The 22,353-nt window shown below is 42.8% G+C and overlaps 1 protein-coding gene and 1 long non-coding RNA gene across 6 annotated transcripts in view, besides 3 other annotated features; one reads left to right on the forward strand and one right to left on the reverse strand.

Moving 5' to 3' along the window:
* The window catches only part of ZNF609 (zinc finger protein 609), a 226,491-nt gene that overhangs the window by 75,082 nt on the left and 129,056 nt on the right, over window positions 1–22,353 (forward strand). The window lies entirely within an intron of this gene.
* Window positions 4,642–5,142: an enhancer, noted in NCBI's record as "H3K27ac hESC enhancer chr15:64831500-64832000 (GRCh37/hg19 assembly coordinates)". NCBI's record gives its function as "activates a minimal SCP1, AML or CMV promoter by ChIP-STARR-seq in naive H9 embryonic stem cells {active_cell/tissue: H9 hESC(naive)}" and the evidence as "EXISTENCE:reporter gene assay evidence [ECO:0000049][PMID:30033119]".
* Window positions 5,143–5,643: an enhancer, noted in NCBI's record as "H3K27ac hESC enhancer chr15:64832001-64832501 (GRCh37/hg19 assembly coordinates)". NCBI's record gives its function as "activates a minimal SCP1, AML or CMV promoter by ChIP-STARR-seq in naive H9 embryonic stem cells {active_cell/tissue: H9 hESC(naive)}" and the evidence as "EXISTENCE:reporter gene assay evidence [ECO:0000049][PMID:30033119]".
* The window catches only part of LOC101930091 (uncharacterized), a 92,612-nt gene continuing 77,700 nt past the window's right edge, over window positions 7,442–22,353 (reverse strand). The window contains exon 5 of the long non-coding RNA XR_007064678.1: window positions 7,442–8,237. This is a non-coding gene — a long non-coding RNA (uncharacterized LOC101930091). The remainder of the gene's footprint in view (window positions 8,238–22,353) is intronic.
* Window positions 11,765–11,834: an enhancer, noted in NCBI's record as "active region_9571". NCBI's record gives its function as "activates an Ori minimal core promoter by ATAC-STARR-seq in GM12878 lymphoblastoid cells {active_cell/tissue: GM12878}" and the evidence as "EXISTENCE:reporter gene assay evidence [ECO:0000049][PMID:35858748]".

The raw sequence follows: 22,353 nt of genomic DNA on the forward strand, positions 1-22,353 counted from the left end.
CACAGTATATTCCCACCTCCATCCCTAATCTCTTGTAACCACTAACCTGTTCTCCATTTCAAAAATTTTGTTATATAAAAACTGTTATTTAGGCCCGGTGCAGTGGCTCACACCTGTAATCCCAGCACTTTGGGAGGCCAAGGTGGGTGGATGACTTGAGGTCATGAGATTGAGACCAGTCTGCCCAACGTGGTGAAACCCTATCTCCACTAAAAATACAAAAATTAGACGGGCATGGTGGCATGAGCCTGTAATCCCAGCTACTCAGGAGGCTAAGTCAGGAGAATTGCTTGAACCTGGGAGGCAGAGGTTGCAGTGAGCCGAGATCATGCCATTGTACTCTGCACTTCAGCTTGGGCGACAGAGTGAAACTCCGTCTCCAAAAAAAAAAAACTGTTATTTATATAAATATGTAAAGTGAAACAGGGTCTCTGTCACCCAGGCTTGAGTGCAGTGATGTGATCATAGTTTACAGTAACCTTGAACTCCTAGCCTCAAACTATCCTCCTGCCTCAACCTCCCAAGTAGCTAGGCGCATGCCACCACCCCTGATTAATTTTTAAAATTTTTTGTAGATATGAGGTCTTGCTATGTTGCCCGGGCTGGTCTGGAACTCCTGGCCTCAAATGATTATCCTGCCTCTACCTCTCATAGCACTGGGATTACAGTCATGAGCCTGGACAAAAATGTTATATAAATTGAATCGTACCATATGTAACCTTCTGGGATTGGCTTTTTCAATCAGCATAATTTTCTGGAGATTCATCCAGGTTGTTGCGTGTATCAATAGTTCATTCCTTTTTGTTGCTGAACGGTAGTATTCCATGGTATAGATATACCACAGTTTGTTTTACCATATACGTGTTGGAGGTGAGCTGGGCTGTTTCTAGTTTGGGACTATTATGAAAAAAAATGGCTATGCACATTTATATACAGTTTTTTGTGTGTGTGTGAACATAAGTTTTCATTTCTCTGGGACAAGTGCCCAAGAGTGCAGTTGCTGGGTCATATGGTAATTGTGTTTAGTTTTTTAAGAAACTGGTTTTCAGAGTGACTATACCATTTTACATTACCACCAGCAAATGTGTGAGAAATCTAGTTTCTTTGCATCCTTGCCAATATTTACTGTTATCTCTATTTTTTATTTTAGCTATCCTGGCAGGTATGTAATGGTACCTCAATGTGGTTTTAATTTGCATTTCTCTAATGATAACAGTGTTCAAGTTATTTTCGTGTGCTTGTTTATCACCTGTGTATTCTCTTCAGTGAATCATCTGGATGTCTTTTGCCCACTTTCTTTTTTTTTCATTTTTATTATTTTCATTAATTTTTTTCTTTGGCCACTGGAATAAAGACTCACCATTTTCTAACTGAGTGATGTTTTTTAAATATATATTTTTTAGAGACAGGGTCTCACTCTGTGGCACAGAGTGCCATTGTAGCTTTGAACTCCTCAGCTCAAGCTGTCCTCCCGCCTCAGCCTCATGAGTAGCTAGTACTACAGGCACATGCCACTACACCTGGCTAATTTTTTTATTTGTTTGTGGAGACAGGGTCTTACTATGTTGCTGAGGCTGGTGTTTAACTCCTGGACTGCAGTGACCCTCTCATCTCAGCCTCCCAAAGTGTTGGGATTACAGGCATGCGCCCCTGTGCCCAGCCTATGGCATGATTTTAGAAGTGGTTTATGACTGTATAGCCTCTTCCTGTTCTTGCTTGTTTTCTGAGCCTGATTCTCCAGACTTCCTGGGAATTCAGTGAGTCACCCACTACTAACCTTTCATCTTTTGCTTGAATCAACTAGGGTTCGTTTCTGTATGCAACTAGGGACCTTGAGTTATATAGTTTCTGAATTTTGAGAGTAAAAACCACAATACATATTAAAGAAGTGCACCATCTAACCAGGGAGATGGGACTTAATGAAATACTAGAACTGGCCGGGCTCAGTGGCACATGTCTGTAATCCCAGCACTTTGGGAGGCCGAGGCAGGAGGATCACTAGAGCTAAGGAGTTCGAGATCAGCCTGGGCAACCTAGCAAGACCTCGTCTCTACTAAAATTCCACCCCCCCCCCCAAAAAAAAAATTAGCTGGCAGGCAAGGTGGCATGCAGGCCTGTCCCATTTACTCAGTGCCAGCTACTCTGGGGGCTGAGGTGCAAGGACTGCTTGAGCCTGGAAGGTTGAGGCTGCAGTGAGCCGGAATTGTGCCACTGCACTCCAGCCTGGGCGACAGAGAGAGACCCTGTCTCAAAAAAGAAAAAAAAAAAAAAAAAAAAAAAAGGCCGGGCACGGTGGCTCACACCTGTAATCCCAGCACTTTGGGAGGCCATGGTGGGCGGATCACCTGAGGTCAGGAGTTTGAGACCAGCCTGGCCAACATGGCGAAACCCCGTCTCTACTAAAAATACAAAAATTAGCCAGGTGTGGTGGTGGGCAGTTGTAATCCCAGCTACTCGGGAGGCTGAGGCAGGAGAATCACTTGAACCTGGGAGGTGGAGATTACAGTGAGTCGAGATCGTGCCACTGCACTCCAGCCTGGGTAACAGAGTGAGACTCGCTGGGTGCGGTGGTTCACACCTGTAATCCCAGCACTTTGGGAGGCCGAAGCGGGTGGATCACCTGAGGTTGGGAGTTCGAGACCACCCTAACCAACATGGAGAAACCCCATCTCTACTAAAAATACATACAAAATTAGCCGGGTGTGGTGGCACATGCCTGTAATCCCAGCTACTCGGGAGGCTGAGCCAGGAGAATGGCTTGAACCCAGGAGGCGGAGCTTGCGGTGAGCCGGGGATCATGCCATTGCACTCCAGCCTGGGCAACAAGAGTGAAACTCTGTCTCAAAAAAAAAAAAAGAAAAAGAAAAAAAAGAGCAGAGTGAGACTCCATCAAAAAAAAGAAAAAAGAAAAAAAATACTAGAGCTGTATTACACAGAAATGTGATAGCTTATCTAACACAGACAAGTGATATAAATAAAGGGGAAATTAATGGCTGGAGCATGTGGAACAGGTTTATAGAAAAACTGGATGCAAAAATTTACATAGAAAGAAGAAGTGTTTATATACTGTGGCCCTTTGGCAGAACACAAACTGTAATATGATTGTTTTGCCCCCTTAGGGGCACTATCTTCTTCATTGAAAATGTATATCCTAGGGCTGGGCGCGGTGGCTCTCGCCTGTAATCCCAGCACTTTGCAAAGGAGGCTGAGGTGGGCGGATCACCTGAGGCCAGGAGTTGGAGACCAGCCTTACCAACATGGAGAAACCCCGTCTCTACTAAAAATACAAAAAAAAAATTAGCCAGGCATGGTGGCGCATGCCTGTAATCCCAGCTACTCGGGAGGCTGAGGTGGGAGAATTGCTTGAACCTGGGAGGCGGAAGTTGCGGTGAGCCGAGATCGCGCCATTGCACTCCAGCCTGGGCAACAGGAGCAAAACTCCATCTCAAAAAAAAAAAAGAAAGAAAGAAAATGTATATCCTAGGATGTTCTAGTTAGGTTAATCTCTTTCCTTTGTTGCATTAGGAGGTGAAAAAAATTTTTAGATGGGTTAGATTTCCCTCAAAAATATTTCTAGTGATAAGATGTTCAAATAGTATATTGAGGTCTAATGCTAGATCAAAAAGTCAGTTGCTAAGACACTTGATGTCACAAACTGTTAACCATCCTGGCATTTTAAGCTTTTGAGAAATGTAAAATAATTCTTCTCCACTAAAATGTTTGAGGCTTTTGCTTTAGTTTATAGACTGGTTTATTATACAGTTTATTTGTAAATTTGGCTCATCATAGAATGTATTAGTAAATTTGTCCATAGGCAGAAGCCAGAGAGTTTAGTTTTTAAAAGTTTTATCTGTAAAGTGTGGATTTTTGTTTGGTTTTATTTATTATTTATTTTTATTTTTTTGAGAGAGAGTTTCACTCTTGTTGCACAGGCTGGGGTGCAGTGGGGCGATCTTGGCTCACCGCAACCTCCGCCTCCTGGGTTCAAGCGATTCTCTTGCCTCAGCCTCCTGAGTAGCTGGGATTACAGGCATGCACAATCACGCCTGGCTAATTTTGTATTTTTAGTAGAGACGGGGTTTCTCCATGTTAGTCAGGCTGGTCTTGAACTCCCGACCTCAAGTGATCCACTGCCTCGACCTCCCAAAGTGCTGGGATTACAGACGTGAGCCACTGTGCTGGACTGGTTTTATTTTTTATAGAGATAAAATAAAACCCAGGCTAGAGTGCAGTGGTGTGATCATAGTTCACTGCAGCCTGGAATTCCTGGGCTCACGCAATCGTCCCGCTTCAGCCTCCTGAGTAGCTGGGGCTACATGCATGCACCACCATGCCTGACTGGTTTTTGTACATTTTTCTTTTGAGATGGAGTCTTGTTCTGTCACCCAGGCTGGAGTGCAGTGGCGCGATCTTGGCTCACTGCAACCTCCGCCTCCCAGGTTCAAGTGATTCTCCTGCCTCAACCTCCCAAGTAGCTGAGACTGCAGGCGCCTGCCACCATGCCTTATTTATTTATTTATTTATTTATTTATTTATTTATTTATTTATTATTTTTTATTTTGTTTTGAGATGGAGTCTCACTCTGTTGCCCAGGCTGGAGTGCAGTGGCGCGATCTCGGCTCACTGCAAGCTCCACCTCCCAGGTTCACCCCATTCTCCTGCCTCAGCCTCCCAAGTAGCTGGGACCACAGGCACCCGCCACCACGCCCGGCTAATTTTTTGTATTTTTAGTAGAGACGGGGTTTCACCATGTTAGCCAGGATGGTCTCGATCTCCTGACCGCGTGATCCACCCGCCTTGGCCTCCCCAAGTGCTGGGATTACAGGCGTGAGCCACTGCGCCTGGCCAATTTTTTTATTTTTGAGACAGAGTCTCACTCTGTCACCCAGGCTGGAGTGCAGTGGCACAATCTCAGCTCACTGCAACCTCCGACTCCCCGGTTCAAGCGATTCTCCTGCCTCAGCCTTCGGAGTAGCTGGGATTACAGGCGCCTGCCACCATTCCCGGCTAATTTTTGTATTTTTAGTAGAGACAGTGTTTCACTATGTTGTCCAGGCTGGTCTCGAACTCCTGACCATGTGCCTCAGTCTCCCAAAGTGCTGGGATTACAGGCCTGAGCCACTACGCCCAGCCTACCTGCCTAATTTTTGTATTTTTAGTAGTGACAGGGTTTCGCCATGTTGGCCAGGCTGGTCTCAAACTCCTGACCCCAGATGATCAGCCCGCCCTGGCCTCCCAAAGTGCTGGGATTACGGGCCTGAGCCACTGCGCCCAGCCTTTTTTCCTTATTTTTGTAGAGATAGGGTCCCACCATCTTGCCCAGGCTGGTCTCGCACTCTTGGGCTCACGTGATCCTCTTGCCACACACCTCCCAAAGTGGTGGGATTACAGGTGTGAACCAGCTTACCTGGCCAAGAGTTTTATTACTAGCTGGATTATGATGTTAGCCCGTTGTGTATCTTCTATATCTTATGTTAGGATTCTTTTCTCCCATCTTCCCGCATCTTCATCTTTTCTTCCCCACAGCATATTCTTGGAGAGAAAGGAGTAGGCAGGAGTTTGCTATTTGAAGGCAAGTAGGGAGAGAGATGTGGGGAGGCTGGTCAAAAGAGGAAACTCAAGTTTAAAGCAATGAAACACCAACACTAACTTCTTTTTCGAAGTTGCTGATGGCTTTGTGTTTAGTAATCCAGATTAGGTCATGAATCTTTTGATACAGATAGGTTTTTTTGTGTGTTTTGTTTTTTATTTTTGTTTTTGTTTGGTACGGAGTCTCACTCTGTCACCTCGGCTGGAGTGCAGTGGTGCAATCTTGACTCATTGCAACCTCCGCCTCCTGGGTTCAAGTGATTCTCCTGCTTTAGCCTCCCAAGTAGCTGGGACTACAGGTGCGTGCCACTGTGCCCAGCTAATTTTTGTATTTTTTAGTAGAGACGGGGTTTCACCATGTTGGCCAGCGTGGTCTTGAACCCTTTACCTCGTGATCCGCACGCCTCGGCCTGCCAAAGTGCTGGGATTACAGGTGTGAGATACCGTGTCCGGCCACAGATAGGTTTTTAAAATGTAGATTAAAAAAACCTTTGTGTCTGGCTGGGCGCGGTGGCTCACGCCTGTAATCCCAGCACTTTGGGAGGCTGAGGTGGGCGGATCACGAGGTCAAGAGATCGAGACCATTCTGGCCAACATGGTGAAACCCTGTCTCTACTAAAAATACAAAAATTAGCTGGGCATGGTGGCATGCACCTGTAGTCCCAGCTACTTGGGAGGCTGAGGCAGGAGAATCGCTTGAACCCGGGAGGCGGAGCTTGCAGTGAGCCGGGATCGCGCCACTGCACTCCAGCCTGGGCGACAGAGTAAGACTCTGTCTCAAAAAAAAAAAAAAAAAAAACTTTTGTGTCTAACAGCAAAACAAAATCCATCTTTGTTTCCTTCCTCTTCTCCATCATATAGGAAATATGGAAAAGCAGAAAAGAATTGCGTTTTTCTGGCCGGGCGCGGTGGCTCACGCCTGTAATCCCAGCACTTTGGGAGGCTGAGGCCGGCGGATCACGAGGTCAGGAGATCGAGACCATCCTGGCTAACACGGTGAAACCCCGTCTCTACTAAAAATACAAAACATTGGCCGGGCGTGGTGTCGGGCGCCTGTAGTCCCCGCTACTCGGGAGGCTGAGGCAGGAGAATGGCGTGAACCCGGGAGGCGGAGCTCGCAGTGAGCCGAGATCGCGCCACTGCACTCCAGCCTGGGCGACAGAGCGAGACTCCGTCTCAAAAAAAAAAAAAAAAAAAGAATTGCATTTTTCTGAAAAGAGAATAATTGGCAGAGTGGTACACTTGCTAGTGAATTACAGTGGGACTATAACTGATTCTAGAGAAAAGAGATTGTTGTTTAAGTAGAATTCCGCCGGGTGCCGTGGCTCATGCCTGTAATCCCAACACTTTGGGAGGCCAGGGCGGGCAGATCACGAGGTCAGGAGATCGAGACCATCCTGGCTAACACAGTGAAACCCCGTCTCTACTAAAAATACAAACAATTAGCCGGGCCTCGTGGTGGGCGCCTGTAGTCCCAGCTACTCAGGAGGCTGAGGCAGGAGAATGGCGTGAACCCGGGAGGCAGAGCTTGCAGTGAGCCGAGATCGTGCCACTGCACGCCAGCCTGGGCGACAGAGCGAGACTCCAACTCAAAAAAAAAAAAAAAAAAAAAAAAAGTAGAATTTCTTCTCTTGCCCTTCCCTTTTGGCTTCTACTATTTACTTAACTGAAACTTAACGAGTCCATTTTTTCCTTTCTCTTCCTTCCCTTTCTCTTCAGTGGATCTGTTTCTTCCCTTTAAAAAATAGGTTGAGTTGGGCATGGTAGTATAGACCTGTAATTCCAGCTATTCAGGGAGGCTGAAGCAGGAGGATCACTTGATGCCAGGAGTTTGAGACCAGTCTGGGCAACATAGGGAGACCCCCATCTCTCTCACACACACACACACAGACAGAGTAGGTATTTCTGAGAAAGTTGAACCTAAAACCTACTCCCCAGTAGATATTTTTTATGCTGTGTGAGAGTAAGGAAGCTTAGAAAATGGCCTAAAACCACTTTTTCTCAAACTTGGAACTTTGCATACAATATTTATGGGCCTCTTGGGCAAAACTATAGACGTAATTTTGCCTGAATCTATTTGGATTATTTTTCAAGTAGTTAATGTGAGGGAGAAAGGCAGAAATGGTCATCTCTTCCAAGGCCAATTTTTTCTAGAACTTCCTTCCTGACTTAAGATTTCTCTGTGTTATTTTCTCTCATCATCATATGGAACTTCAGCTCTGTAACACTGAAATAGGATTTAAATATTGTCACCTTTCAAATTTCTGTGCACTACACTATATTTTTATATTTTACATTCATTATATTTTAATCAGTGCATCCAAAGTTTTCATTGTTCAACCTAAACTTGATTGTCTAGTGATATTCCGTATCTTGCTGATGCTTAATGCACCAACCACTCAAATGCTGAGGCTGAAACAGAGAATCATCTTAGACTCTCCTTTTCACTTATTCAGAAGTCCCATGTCCTGTGGATGATTCTTCTTTTTAACAATATCCACCCTCCTTCTCTCCATCCCCACTTTCTCTGCCTTAGTTGGACCTTAACACTTTTTACCTGCATCATTCCAGGTTGGTCCCCTGGCTTCTGGTCTAGCATCTCTCCAGTCCATTCTCTACATTGCTGCCAGGTGATCTTTCTAAACATTCTGGATTAAATTCATATAACATTGTAAATTAAATTCCAGTTCCAGTGAGAACACATGGACACAGGGAGGGGAACATCACACACTGGGGCCTGTCAGCGGGTGGGGGGCAAGGGGAGGGAGAGCATTAGGACAATTACCTAATCCATCTGAGGCTTAAAACCTAGATGACGGGTTGATAGGTGCAGCAAACCACCGTGGGACGTGTATACCTATGTAACAAACCTGCACGTTCTGCACATGTATCCCAGAACTTAAAGTAAAATTTAAAAAATTTAAAAATAAATTTAAAAATTCCAGTCTCTTAATTTTAAGACACACAGCTCTTCAGAATTCCATCCCAGTCTGTTTTTTGTTGTTGCTTTTTTTTTTTTTTTTTTTCTAATTTCATCTACCATTCCTTCTTTATTTCAGCCATACCAAAGTATGGCAGTTCCCTAGACATGCCATGGGGGTTCATACTTTCTGTTGTTTCATATAATTGTACCTTTGTGTATATATACTTTTTTCTCTGCTTAAAACACCTTTCCCTGCCTTTTTGTTTGTTTTTTGCTTTTTTTTTTTTTTTTAAACGGAGCCTCCCTCTGTTGCCCAGGCTGAAGTGCAGTGGCGTGATCTCGGCTCACTGCAACCTCCACCTCTGGGTTCAAACGTTTCTCCTGCTTCAGCCTCCTGAGTAGCTGGGATTACAGGCGCCCTGCCACCATGCCCGGCTAATTTTTGTATTGTTAGTAGAGACGGGGTTTCACTGTATTGGCCAGGCTGGTCTTGAACTCCTGACCTTGAGTGATCCACCCACCTCAGCCTCCCAAAGTGCTAGGATTACAGGCGTAAGCCACCACGCTCAGCCTCTCTGCCTTTTTAAATCAAAAACTAGTTCTATTTTAAGAAGCAATCAAAGTTTTACTCTGATGAGTTTTTGTTTCCCAGAACCTCATATATGTTTGTGTCATAGTATTTATCACACCATACAATATGATCGAATTCTTTTCCACCTAGATTGGAAGATCTTTTTGAAGGCAAGTCTTGTGTTGTCTTTGCCTTAGGCTACACGTTACTTAGCACAACCCCTGGTAGTAGCTGTTCCATAAGTGCTCCTTGACTGACTCTCATTTATGTTAAAAAGAAAAAAAATCCATACAGCAGAAAATTTTTCAACTTTGAGGCCAGGCATGATAGCTTACAGCTATAATTCCAGCACTTTGGAGGCCAAGGACGGCGGATCACCTTAGGTCAGGAGTTTGAGACCAGCCTGGCCAACATGGTGAAACCCCATCTCTATTAAAAAATACAAAAATTAGCCGGGCGTGGTGGCATGCATCTGTAATCCCTGCTACTCAGGAGGCTGAGGCAGGAGAATCGCTTGAACTTGGGAGGCGGAGGTTGCAGTGAGCTGAGATCATGCCACTGCCCTCAGCCTGGGTGACAGAGTGAGACTCTGTCCTAAGAAAAGTTCTCAACTTGAGCACTGGACTCATTTAAGTAATAATCGTTAAAACCAAAGCCCAGCAAAATAAAATAATTTGAAAGGACTTCAGGGCTGTAATATAATTTGATGTGCTTTATAGGTTTGAAAGTTTTTGCTAAGCAGATTTATGCAGAATGTGATTAAAATAATTTTTTGGCTCACAGTGTCAACCAGACAAATGATGTTGAGGTTAGTTGCTAGGCTGGTTCTCCTTCCTTTATGTTGAAACAACAGGCAGCATTCATTTTAGCTGATGATGAAGACCTGGTTTCTCCTACAGCCTTATCTGAAATGCCTTTCCAAAGCCAGCAGTGACTGTCAGGCTGTCCAGAGTTCTTTCAACAGGAAAACCAGGACTCATCCCTTCTCTTAACTCCTCTAAGCTGTCAGCAAGCGAACCCCTTTTTACCAATCTAGCATGAAAGCCATGAGCCAGGAATACAGGGCAGGTACATTGATTGTTAAAGGGCGTTTGGTTTTCAGTCTCTGGATTCCAAGTCAGTGCTTTCTCCTCTGCTGTCAGACCATCAAGTTGTAGGTAGGTGTTGTGCTGCATGTTTCAAGATGGCCCATAGATGCTGGACAATTCCAGAAAGCAATGGTTTCCCTATTATGAGAAAACTGTGTACCTGTCATTTCTGCCATTCTGTTAAGCAGGTAAAAGAGATTAAGACTTGCTATTTAGCAAGATTAAATGAGACTAGTACCCCACTTCTTTCTTGAAGCCGTTGTGTCTCTCCTGTCTGTACATTTAGACCTTTCTTTTGCAACCAGATCTACTTGTTAAAAGGTGGGGAATGGGGTTGGCATGATGAGAAGAGTATGCAGTATACAGGATTTTTTTTTTTTTCTTTGAGACAGGGTCTAGCTCTGTAACCCAAGCTTGGAGTGCAGTGGCGTGACCTTGGCTCATTGCAACCTTCGTCTCCTGGGCTCAAGCCAATCTCCCACCTCACCCTCCCGAGTAGCTGGAACTATAGGCTCACGCTACCATGCCCAGCTAATGTTTGTACTTTTTGTAGAGATGGGGTTTCACCGTGTTGCCCAGGCTGGACTTGAACTCCTGAGCTCAAGGAATTCACCTGCCTCAGCCACCCAAAGTGCTGGGATTACGGGCATTAGCCAACACACTTCGCCAGGATTTTTAATAATCCATTCATCAAAGCATATATCTGTATAATAAAAATCACTGATTATGAGTGTACAGATTGATGACTTTTGTGAAATGGATGCATCTGTTTAACCACCCCCAAAACCAAGATGTAGAACGTTTTAATTTCCCCAAGTTCCTTTGTGTCCCTTTACAGTTTTCTCTCCCTGCCCCCATTGCAATCAACCACTAATCTTACTTCCATCATTAGTTTTGCCTGTTCTAGAATATGTATAAGAGAAATCATACAGTGAGTACTTTTTTGTGTCCAGCTTCTTTCACTTAATATAATCTCCTTGGAAGTTGTCTATGTTGTTGCATTTATCAGCAGTTTTTTTCTTTTTATTGCTGAGTACTATTTCATTGTATAGATATACCACATTTGCTTACCTGCTTACCACCAGTTGGATCATTTCCAACTTCTGGCTATTATAAATAAAGGTGTGAACATTCATGTACACAAAGTTTTTTGTGGATAGAGGGTTTTATTTTTCTTAGATAAATACATACACATGAAATTACTGGTTCACATGGTAAGTATATATTTAACTTTATGAGAAAGTGGCAAAATGTTTTCCTAAGTGGTTACACGATTTTATACTCTTACCAGCTATGTATGAGAGTTCTAGTTGCTGCAAATCCTTGTCAGTACTTGATACTGTCTGTTGTTTTCTTTTCAAGTGGCTATACATCTTAGTCACTGTGAAGGAGTACATCTCTCATTGTGATTTTAATTTTTCTTTTTTGCTTTGAGACAGGGCCTCACTGTGTTGCCCACATGGGAATGCAGTGGCATGATCACTGCTCACTGCAGCCTTGACCTCCCAGGCTCAAGTGATCCTCCCACTTCAGCCTCCCAAGTAGCTGGGACTACAGGCATGCACCACCATGCCTGGCTAAGATTTTAATGTTCCATGTTTCTTTCTTTTTTTTTTTTTGGAGATGGTGCCTTGTTCTGTCACCAGTGGTGACCAGTGGCGACCAGTGGTGAGCCCTGATTGCACAGGTTGGAGTGCGGTGGTGCGATCAGGGCTCACCACAGCCCCAACCTCCCAGGCTCAAGCAATCTTTCTACTTTAGCCTGCTGAGTAGCTGGGACAACAGGTGCATGCCACTATGCCCAGCTAATTTTTAAATTTTTTTGTAGTGATGGGGTCTTCCTACATTGCCTAAGCTGTTCTTGAGCTCCTAGACTCAAGCAATCCACCTGCCTATGTCTCTCAAAGTGCTGGGATTACAGGCATGAGCCACAACAACCCAGCCAGTTTTTCATGTTTCTTTTTTTTTTTTTTTTTTTGAGACAGAGTCTCGCCCTGTCGCCCAGGCTGGAGTGCAGTGGCGTGATCCCGGCTCACTGCAAGCTCTGCCTCCCAGGTTCACATCATTCTCCTGCCTCAGCTTCCCGAGTAGCTGGGACCACAGGCGCACGCCACCACACCTGGCTAAATTTTTGTATTTTTAGTAGAGATGGGGTTTCACTGTGCTAGCCAGGATGGTCTGGATCTCCTGACCTCGTGATCCACCCACCTCGGCCTCCCAAAGTGCTGGGATTACAGGCATGAGCCACCACGCCTGGCCCAGTTTTTCATGTTTCTTGATGCAAATGGTAATTTTTAAAATTTCATTTTTCATTTGTTTGCTGCTAGTGTATAGAAATGCAGTTGATTTCTGTGTATGACCTTATATCAATGTCAATTAGCCCTTATTTCTAGCAGTTGTTTTATTTTAGATTTCCTAGGCTTTTTGGAGATAGTCATGGTGTTAATATTGGACTTACTCAACTTTAGACAGTGAGAATAAGATCCACATGATCTAGATGTTTGGATTTTTTGGTTTTCTGGATATTTGAGAGCCTTATCTTTGTAGGTCTCTGCATGCATGTTAGGATGACATAATTGAAGTAAACCATGAATATAAAGTGGATGAATACAGTTGCAATAATAATTCTATGTAGAATTGACATGGCAGATGGGAAACAAGGCTGCTTTGCCCTCTGGGCTTTTGAAAAATTGGAAAGTAGGCCCTGTGCTCTAAAGAATGATAAAATCTGGCTCTGGCTCATAAGAAGTACTTCCTAAAACCAGGTTACTCAGGAGGATGATGGAATTACCTCTAGCCATTTGTAAAGCCACTTACCACTTTTTTTTTTTTGGACAGGTATTTTGTTAGTGAGTCCCCACCAGTGTACCAGGCACTGTTTTAGTGCTTGGGATACATCAGTGAACAAAACAGTAAAACAAATAAACAAACAAAAAAACTCCCTGTTTAAATTACATTCTAGTGGGGGGAATACATAATAAATATTAAGCATGAAAATACTGATTTTTTATTAGTGGTGAGAAGGGCTCTGGAGAAAAATGAGGCAAAGCAGGAGGACGGGGGTGTAGAGAAATATATTGATTTTAATACCCTTGTAGATTACTTTTTGATTAACACTGGAAAGTCATCATAAACCAAATAGCAGGAAAAAGTACTAATTCATAATTAATTATTCAATGATGACCCTTTGATGAGGATTATCTCAAGTTTACATATGTATTCCCCAGTGATTCTTTTCTCCAACTGAATTGTCTAATTTGCAAGGAATTTTTTAGAAGAAATGGTTCCAAGCAAGCTATGCTGCGATCCCTCAACCACAAAAGATCTAATTTTCATAGAAAAATATTTGAATTTTTTCAACAGTTACAAACACAAAGTAGGAAACAAAGGTCCTAGCCTTACCAAGTTGCATAATTTCTCATTTTACCATCTCACTTAGGAATGGTCAATATTATGTTTGAGAACAGTAAAGCAAAGGAAATAAAAAAGGTGCCACTTTTGAATAATTTTACTCGTGTACACTCTAACAAAATGTGAGATGCCAAAGAAACAACACTACACCAGATGGCTATTAAATCAAATGCTTTTCTTTACAAGTCGATGAATCAATAGACTCTAGTGAATGTGCTCAGTTAATAGAACTGCTTAGGCTGGGCTAGGTGGCTCATGTCTGTAATCCTAACACTTTGGGAGCCTCTGGTAGGCAGATTGCTGGAGCCTAGGAATTCAAGACCAGCCTGGACAACATGGCAAAACCCATCTCTACAAAAGACAAACAAAAACAAAAATTACTTGGGCATAGTAGTATGTGCCTATATTCCCAGCTACTTGGGAGGCTAAAGTAGGACTTGAGCTCAGGAGGTTGAGGCTGCAGTGAGCTGTGATCTTGTCACTGCACTTTAGCCTGGGCAACAGAACAAGATCCTGTCTTTAAAAAAAAGAAAGAAAGAATAATAAACTGCTTACAGCCCTTGAAGAGAAATTCTTAGAGAGTTATTTGTTCTGCATATATGTCAAAACAACCTACTTGAGATGAAATATTCAAAATTATAAATGAAATCTTTTAAAAAAGATGATACAGAAATCTTTCTTCTGTTCATGTAGTGGTAATGCTGGTGCAAAGATGGGTATATGGATATAAAGGCTTCATGTCAAGAGTTCACCTGAAAACCCTGAAATTTAGGCACATGAATTTTTTTTATTCCGTTTTGCATAGGAGAAATTCAGTTTTGCCTGTAGGTCTAAATTCCACATTAAATTTTATTTTCAAAATGGTGAATCTAATAATAATAAGTACTTAAAAATAAAATAGTACCCACTGTGTTTCAAGACTGTTTTTGTTTGTTTGTTTTGGTTTTGGTTTGGTTTGGTTTTTTTGAGACGGAGTTTAGCTCTTGTAGTCCAAGCTGGAGTGCAATGGCGCAATCTTGGCTTACCACAACCTCCGCCTCCCGGGTTCAAGCAATTCTCCTGCCTCAGCCTCCAGAGTAGCTGGGATTACAGGTGCACACCACCTCGCCCGGCTAATCTTTTTTTGTATTTTTAGTAGAAACAGGGTTTCACCATGTTTCAACAGCTAGGCTGATCCACCCACCAAGGCCTCCCAAAGTGCTGGGATTACAGGCATGAGCCACCGTGCCAAGACTGTTGTAAGAAGTGTATGTATATTTACTAATTTAATCCTCACAGTTAATGATGTAGGTACTATTAATATCATCCCCATCTACAGCTGAGGAAACTGAGACATAGAGCAGTTAGGTTATTTTCCCAAGGTTACATTGGCAGAGCCAAAATTCAAAGCCAGGTAATCTGGCTTCAGAGTCTGTACTCGTGTGTGTGTGTGTGAGTGAGAGAGAGAGGGAGACAGGGAGAAAGAAAGAAAACACAAATAACATAAAATTTACCATCTTAACCATTGATTTTTGGTCCATGTTTTTTATTTTTCATTTTTGGGCTTAATTTAATTTATTTTTGAGATGGGATCTCACTCTGTCATCCAGGTTGGAGAGCAGTGGTGCAATCACAGCTCATTGCAGCTTCAGTCTCCTGTACCCAAGTGATCCTCCTACATTAGTCGCCCAAGTAGTTGAAACTACAGGTATCTGTCACCACGCCAAACTAATTTTTTTCTTTTCTTCATGTTTTTTTAAGAGACAAGGGTCTTGCTATATTGCCCAGGCTGGAGTGCCATCACAGCTCACTGCAGCCTCTACTTCCCTCAATGGATCCTCTCACCTCAGCCTCCCAAGTAGCTAGGGCTACAGGCATGCACCACCACACCCAGCTAATTTTTTTCTGTTTTTTTGTAGAAATGGGGTCTCACAGTGTTGTCTAGGTTGGTCTTGAAATCCTTGGCTCAAGTGATCCACCCACCTCAGCCTCCCAAAGTGCTGGGATTACAGGCATGAGCTGCTGTGCCCAGCTGTGTATCTTCTTTGTAGAAATATCTATTCAAGTGTTTTGCCCAGGTTTGAATTGGGGTTTGTTGTTGTTATTGTTGTTGTTGTTGTTGTTGTTGTTAAATTGTGGGAGTTCTTTATATATTTTGGATATTAATCTCTTATTAGATGTATGATTTGCAGGCCAGGTATGGTGGCTCATGCCTCTAATCCCAGCACTCTGGGAAGCCAAGGCAGGAAGATTGCTTGATGCCAGGAGTTTAAAACCAGCCTGGGCAACATAGCAAGACCCTGTTTTTAAAAATAAATAATTAAAAAAAAAAAGAGGAATAGATGACCAGGCACAGTGACTCATGCCTGTAATCCCAGCACTTTGGGAGGCCAAGGTGGGCGGATCACCTGAGGTCACCAGCCTGACCAACATGACGAAACCCTGTCTCTACTAAAAATACAAAAATTAGCTGGGTGTGGTGGCACATGCCTGTAATCCCAGCTACTTGAGAGGCCGAGACAGGAGAATCGCTTGAACCCAGGCAGTGGAAATTGCAGTGAGCCGATGATCGTGCCACTGCACTCCAGCCTGGGTGACACAGTGAGACTCTGTCTCGGGAAAAAAAAAAAAAAAAAGAAACATGATTTGCAAATATTTTCTCCCATTCTGTAGGTTGTCTTCTTAGTCTTCTCATGCATAAGTTTTCAGTTTTGATGAAGTCCAGTTTATCTATTTTAACATTTGTTACCTGTACTTTTTGGTGTCTTAGTCAAGAAATCACTGCCAATCCAATGTCAGGAAGCTTTTCCTGTATGTTTTTCTCTAAGAGTTTTATAATTTTAGCTTCTACATTTAGGATGGTCCCTTTTTTTTGTTTGTTTTGAGGTGAAGTCTCACTATGTTGCCCAGGCTGGACTCACAACTCCTAGGCTCAAGCAGTACTCCCACCTCGGACTCCTGAATATCTGGGACTATAGGCATGCACTCTGCCCAGCTGGTTCATTTTGAATTAATTTTTGTTATGGTATAAGGTAAGGGTCCAGCTTTTATCTTATGACTTCTTTTCATTTCTGACCCATTGTTTTTACCTCCAAGGGTACTTATACCTTAATTCAAAGAGTTAGCATAAAGGATTTAGAAAAGTAGATGTCTTGCTTGGCGCGGTGGCTCACGCCTGTAATCCCAGCACTTTGGGAGGCCGAGGCAGGCGGATAACCTGAGGTCAGGAGTTCGAGACCAGCCTCAACATGGAGACACCCCGTCTCTACTAAAAATACAAAATTAGCTGGGCGTGGTAGTGCATGCCTGTAATCCCAGCTACTCGGGAGGCTGAGGCAGGGGAATTGCTTGAACCTGGGAAGCGGAGGTTATGGTGAGCCGAGATCGCGCCACTGCACTCCAGCCTGGGCAACAAGAGTGAAACTCTGTCTCAAAAAAAAAAAAAAAAGAGAGAAAAGTAGATGTCTCAGGGAAGGGATGACCATGGAGAGGGAGAAAGACAAGAGAACAGCTGATCAATGGGGCAGTGAGAACTTACACATTTATTGATTAAGCTTACCTTCTTATATCGCACGTTTTGTGGCAACTACCAAACGTCTCTACTAAAAATACAAAAATTAGCCAGGCGTGGTGGCAGGTGCTTGTATTTCCAGCTACTCAGGAGGCTGAGGCAGGAGAATCGCTTAAACCAGGAGGCAGAGGTTGCAGTGAGCCGAGGTCGCACCACTGCACTCCAGCCTGGGTGACAGAGTAAGACTCTGTCTCAAAAAAAAAAAAAAAAAGTTTTTTCTTATTTTAAATTGAGTTGTTTGTTTTCTTATTATTGTGTTTTGAGAGTTCTTGATACGTTGTGCATGTAAGTCCTTTATCAGATGTGATTAGCAAATATTTTCTTCCAGTCTGTGGCTTGTCTTTTCATTATCAGTGATAAGAGAACATAAGTTCTTAATTTGGAAGTTTAGTTTATCATTGCTTTCGTTAATGGGTCATGCTTTCCATATCTAAAATCTTTGTCTAACCTAAGGTTACAAAGGTATTCTATTTTATTCCTGAAGTTTTGTAGTTGCAGGTTATATATTTAGATCTATCATCCAACTTTAGTTAATTTTTATATATGTTGCAAGGTATGGATTAAAATGGTTTTGTTGTTGTTTTGGTTTTTTGTTTTTGAGACAGAGTCTTGCTCTGTTGCCCAGACTGGAGTGCAGTGACGCGATCTTGGCTCACTGAAACCTCCGCTTCTCAGGTTCAAGCAGTTCTGCTGCCTCAGCCTCCTACAGGCACGCACCACGCCTGGCTAATTTTTCTGTTTTTAGTAGGGACGGGATTTTGCTATGTTGTCAGAGTGGTCTGGAACTCCTGACCTCAAGCAATCCACCTGCTTCGGCCTCCCAAAATGCTGGAATTACATGCTTGAGCCACTGCTCCCAGCCATTGTTGTTTTTTTGAAACAAGGTCTTGCTGTGTGGCTCAGGCTGGAGTGCAGTGATGGGATCATAGCTCACTGCAGCCCCAAACTGCTGGGCTTAAGTGATGGTTGGCCTCAGGCTCCCAAGTAGCTGGGACTACAGGCACATGCAACCGTGCCTGACTAATTTTTTTCTTTTGTAGAGATGGGGTTTCACTATGTTGACCAGGCAGGTCTCAAACTCCTGGCCTCAAGCAGTCCTCCCACCTCTGCCTCCCCAGAGTGCTGGGATTACAGGGCATAAGGCATTGCACTCAGCCAAAATGAGTTTTTAAAATTTTTGGTTTTGTTTATGGGTATCCAGTGGTCCAGCACTGTTTAAAAAACTATTCTTTTTCTCCTGAGCTGCATTTTCACTTTATGAAAAATCAGTTGACCATTTATCATAGATGTGTGGTTCTATTTCTGGACTCTCTGATTTGTCTATCTTAGTTGGCATTACTACATGTCTTGATTACTATAACTTTATAATAAATGTTGAAGTCATATGATTTAAATCTTTCAACTTTGTTCTTTCAAAGTTATTTGGCTGTTATAGATTATTTGTCATAAACATTTTAGATTCAGCTTGTCCATGCCTTAAAAAAAAAAAAAAAGCCTACTGGGACTTTAATTGGAATTGCATTGAATCTATCAATAAATATGGAGAGAATTGCCATCTTAACAATATTGCCCTCCAATCTATGAACACAGGTTATCTCTCTTTCATTTTAGGTCTTTAAGTTCTCTTTACAATATTTTGTTTTCAGTGTGTATATTTTACACATTTTTAAGTATTTCATACTTTACTATTTTATGTTTTGAGGCTATTGTAAATGGTATTTTTAAAATTCAGTTTCTGAATGTTTACGTAATAATTTTTTAATTTTAATTTATTTTTTAATTTTATTTTTTATTTTTATTTTTATTTTATTTTATTTTATCTTGTGAGACAGAGTCTCACTCTGTTGCCCAGGCTGGAGTGCAGTGGCGCAATCTTGGCTCACTGCAAGCTCCGCCTTCTGGGTTCACGCCATTCTCCTGCCTCAGCCTCCCGAGTAGCTGGGACTACAGGCACCTGACACCATGCCTGGCTAATTTTTTGTATTTTTAGTAGAGACGGGGTTTCATCATGTTGGCCAGGAAGGTCTCGATCTCCTGACCTCGTGATCCACCTGCCTCAGCCTCCCAAAGTGCTGAGATTACAGGCATGAGCCACCACGCCTGGCCTATAAAATTTATTTTCATAAAGTGATCTTATACGCTGCAACCATGCTAAACTGATATATCAGTTCTTAGTAGCTTCTTTTAAGATTCCATAGAATTTGCTAGCTAGACAATCATGTCATTTTCAGATTAGGAAAGTTTAACTTCCTTTCCATTTAGATGCCTTTTATTTATTTTTCTTGCCTTTATTGAACTCAATAGAACCTCTATTACTATGCTCCATAGAAGTGCTAAGAGTAGACATCCTTACCTTATTCCTGATTTTAAGGGGAAAGCATTCCGTTTTTACCATTAAATATGACGTTAGCTGTAGTTTTTTCATAGATTTTCTTTTTCGGATTGAGAAAGTCCTCTTCTATTCCTGGCGTGTTGAGTGTTTTATCAGGAATGGATGTTAGATTTTGCCAAATGCTCTTTCTGGGTTATCCAGATAAATACATATACTTTTAAAAATTTTAGTCTCTTGGCCTAGCACAGTGGCTCACACCTCTAATCCCAGTACTTGGGAGGCCAAGGCAGGCAGATTGCTTGAGCCCAGGAGTTCAAGACCAGCCTGGACAACAAGACAAAACCCCATCTCTACAAACAAAACAAAACAAAACCACAAAAATTAGCCGGGCAGTTAGACTACAGGCATGCACCTGTAGTCCCAGCTACTCTGGAGGCTGAGGGGAGATCAGTTGAGCCCAGGAGGTCCAGGCTACAGTGAACCATGATAGTGCCACTGCATTCCAGACTGGGCAACAGATCAAGACCTTGCCTCAAAAAAAAATCTAGTCTCTTACTATGGTGAATTACATTGATTAAATTTCAGGTGTTCAAACAAATTTACATTCCTGGTATAAACCTCACTTGATCATGATTTATTAACCTTTTTATATATTCTTGGATTTGATTTGCTAATCTTTAAAGAATTTTCCGGCCAGGTGTGGTGGCTCACACCTGTAATCCCAGCACTTTGGGAGGCCGAGACGAGTGTATCACCTGAGGTCAGGAGTTCAAGACCAGCCTGGCCAACATGCTGAAACCCCATCTCCACTAAAAATACAAAAATTAGCTGACACAGTGATGTGCGCCTGTAATTCCAGCTACTTGGGAGGCTGAGGCAGGAGAATCACTTGAACCTGGGAGGCGGAGGTTACGGTGAGCCAAGATCACGCCATTGCACTCCAACCTGAGCAACAGAACAAGACACCATCTCAAAAAAAAAAAAAGAATTTTCCACCCTGGGAGACCAAGGTGGGAGGATCGTTTGAGCCCAGGAGTTCAAGACTGGCCTAGGCAACCTAGTGATACCTCATCTCTACAAAAAATAAAACAAAATTAGCCAGCTGTGGTGACACATGCCTGTAGTCCCAGCTACTCCAGAGGCTGAGATGGGAGGATCGCTTGAGCCCAGGAGGTTGAGGCTGTAGTGAGCCGAGATCACGCCACTGCACTCCAGCCTTGGTGACAGAGCAACACCCTGTCTCAAAAATGAATAAATTGGGCTGGGTGCAGTGGCGCACGCCTGTAATCCCAGCACTTTGGAGGCCAAGGCGTGTGGATCACTTGAGGCCAGGAGTTCGAGGCCAGCCTGGGCAGCATGGTGAAACCTCGTCTCTACTAAAAATACAAAAATTAGCCGGGCATGGTGTTGCACAACTGTTGTAATCCCAGTTACTTGGGAGGCCGTTAAGCGAAATTCTGTCTCAAAAAAAAAAAAATAGCCAGATGCAGTGCTTTACGCCTGTAATCCCAGCACTTTGGGAGGCCAAGGCGGGCAGATCACAAGGTCAAGTGTTCGAGACCAGCCTGGCCAACATGGTGAAACCCTGTCTCTACTAAGAATACAAAAATTAGCCGGGCATGGTGGTGTGTGCCTGTAATCCCAGCTACTTGGGTGGCTGAGGCAGGAGAATTGCATTGCTTGAACCCAGGAGGCAGAAGTTGCAGTGAGCCGAGATTGGGCCACTGCATTCCAGCCTGGGTGACAGAGCAAGACTCTGTCTCAAAAAAAAAAAAAAAAAAAAAAAAAGAAAACCTGAAGATTCAGTGAAGTATAGAAAACAGAAATCACCCATAATCCTACATGTAGCAATAACGCAATAACTACCTTTTTTTTTTTTTTAGTTGGAGACAGGGTCTCTCTCTGTTGCCCAGGCTGAGTACAGTGGCATGATCACAGCTCACTGCAGCTTCAGCTTCCCAGGCTCAAGTAATCCTCCTTTCTTAGCCTCCCAAGTAGCTGGGACCACAGGCACACACACCACACCTGGCCAATTTTTTTTTTTTTATTATTTGTAGAGAAAATGTCTTGCTATGTTGCTCAGGCTGGTCTCAAACTCCTGGGCTCAAACAGTCCTCTTGCCTTGGTCTCCCAAAGTGCTGGGAGTACAGGCGTGAGCCACTACTCTTGGGTAATTTTAAAATTTTTTTATAGAGACTGGAGCCTGGCAATGTTGCCCAGGCTGGTCTCGAACACCTGGTCTCAAGTGATCTTCCCGCCTCAGCTTCCCCAAGTGCTAGGATTACAGGCATGAACCACTGCTCCTGGCCAGCACTTATTTTAAATGCCAGCCATTATTCTAAATGCTTCATATATATATATTAGTTTATTTAACCCTCATGACAATCAGATATTATCTATTTGCATTTTATAGATGAAGAAACCAAATGAAAGGTTAAATAAGTGATCAGTTTCCCAACCCTAATTAAAAATTTAACAGAAATTATTGCCCTTCCCTCCTAGCCACTAAATACTTAGCACTGCTTTACTAGTCTTTCACATAATGCCAGTGTATTTAGTCTGTTTGTAATCTGTTAACACCATGTTGACCAGTTCTTGGTTGTTATATACAGTGTTTACCTTCCGATTTTTAGCCTCTGTAATACAGTTACAGCATTACCTAGGTTTATTGAGTTTTTTTATAGTTACTAGATTTAGTGTATACTTAGTTATCAGTATTTGAGGGAATTTCAAAATATTATTTATATCCTATCTGCTTTTTAAAAGGATTTAATGCCATTTATAATAAATAAGTCATACAATGAACTTTTCAACATTAAAGATTAAAAACCGTAAAGAGGAACCAGGATAATTATATCCAAAATGTAAGCTCATTTAGTAATAACAAGT

The sequence above is a fragment of the Homo sapiens genome, chromosome 15 (genome assembly GCF_000001405.40).
Source record: "Homo sapiens chromosome 15, GRCh38.p14 Primary Assembly".
NCBI lineage: Eukaryota > Metazoa > Chordata > Mammalia > Primates > Hominidae > Homo > Homo sapiens.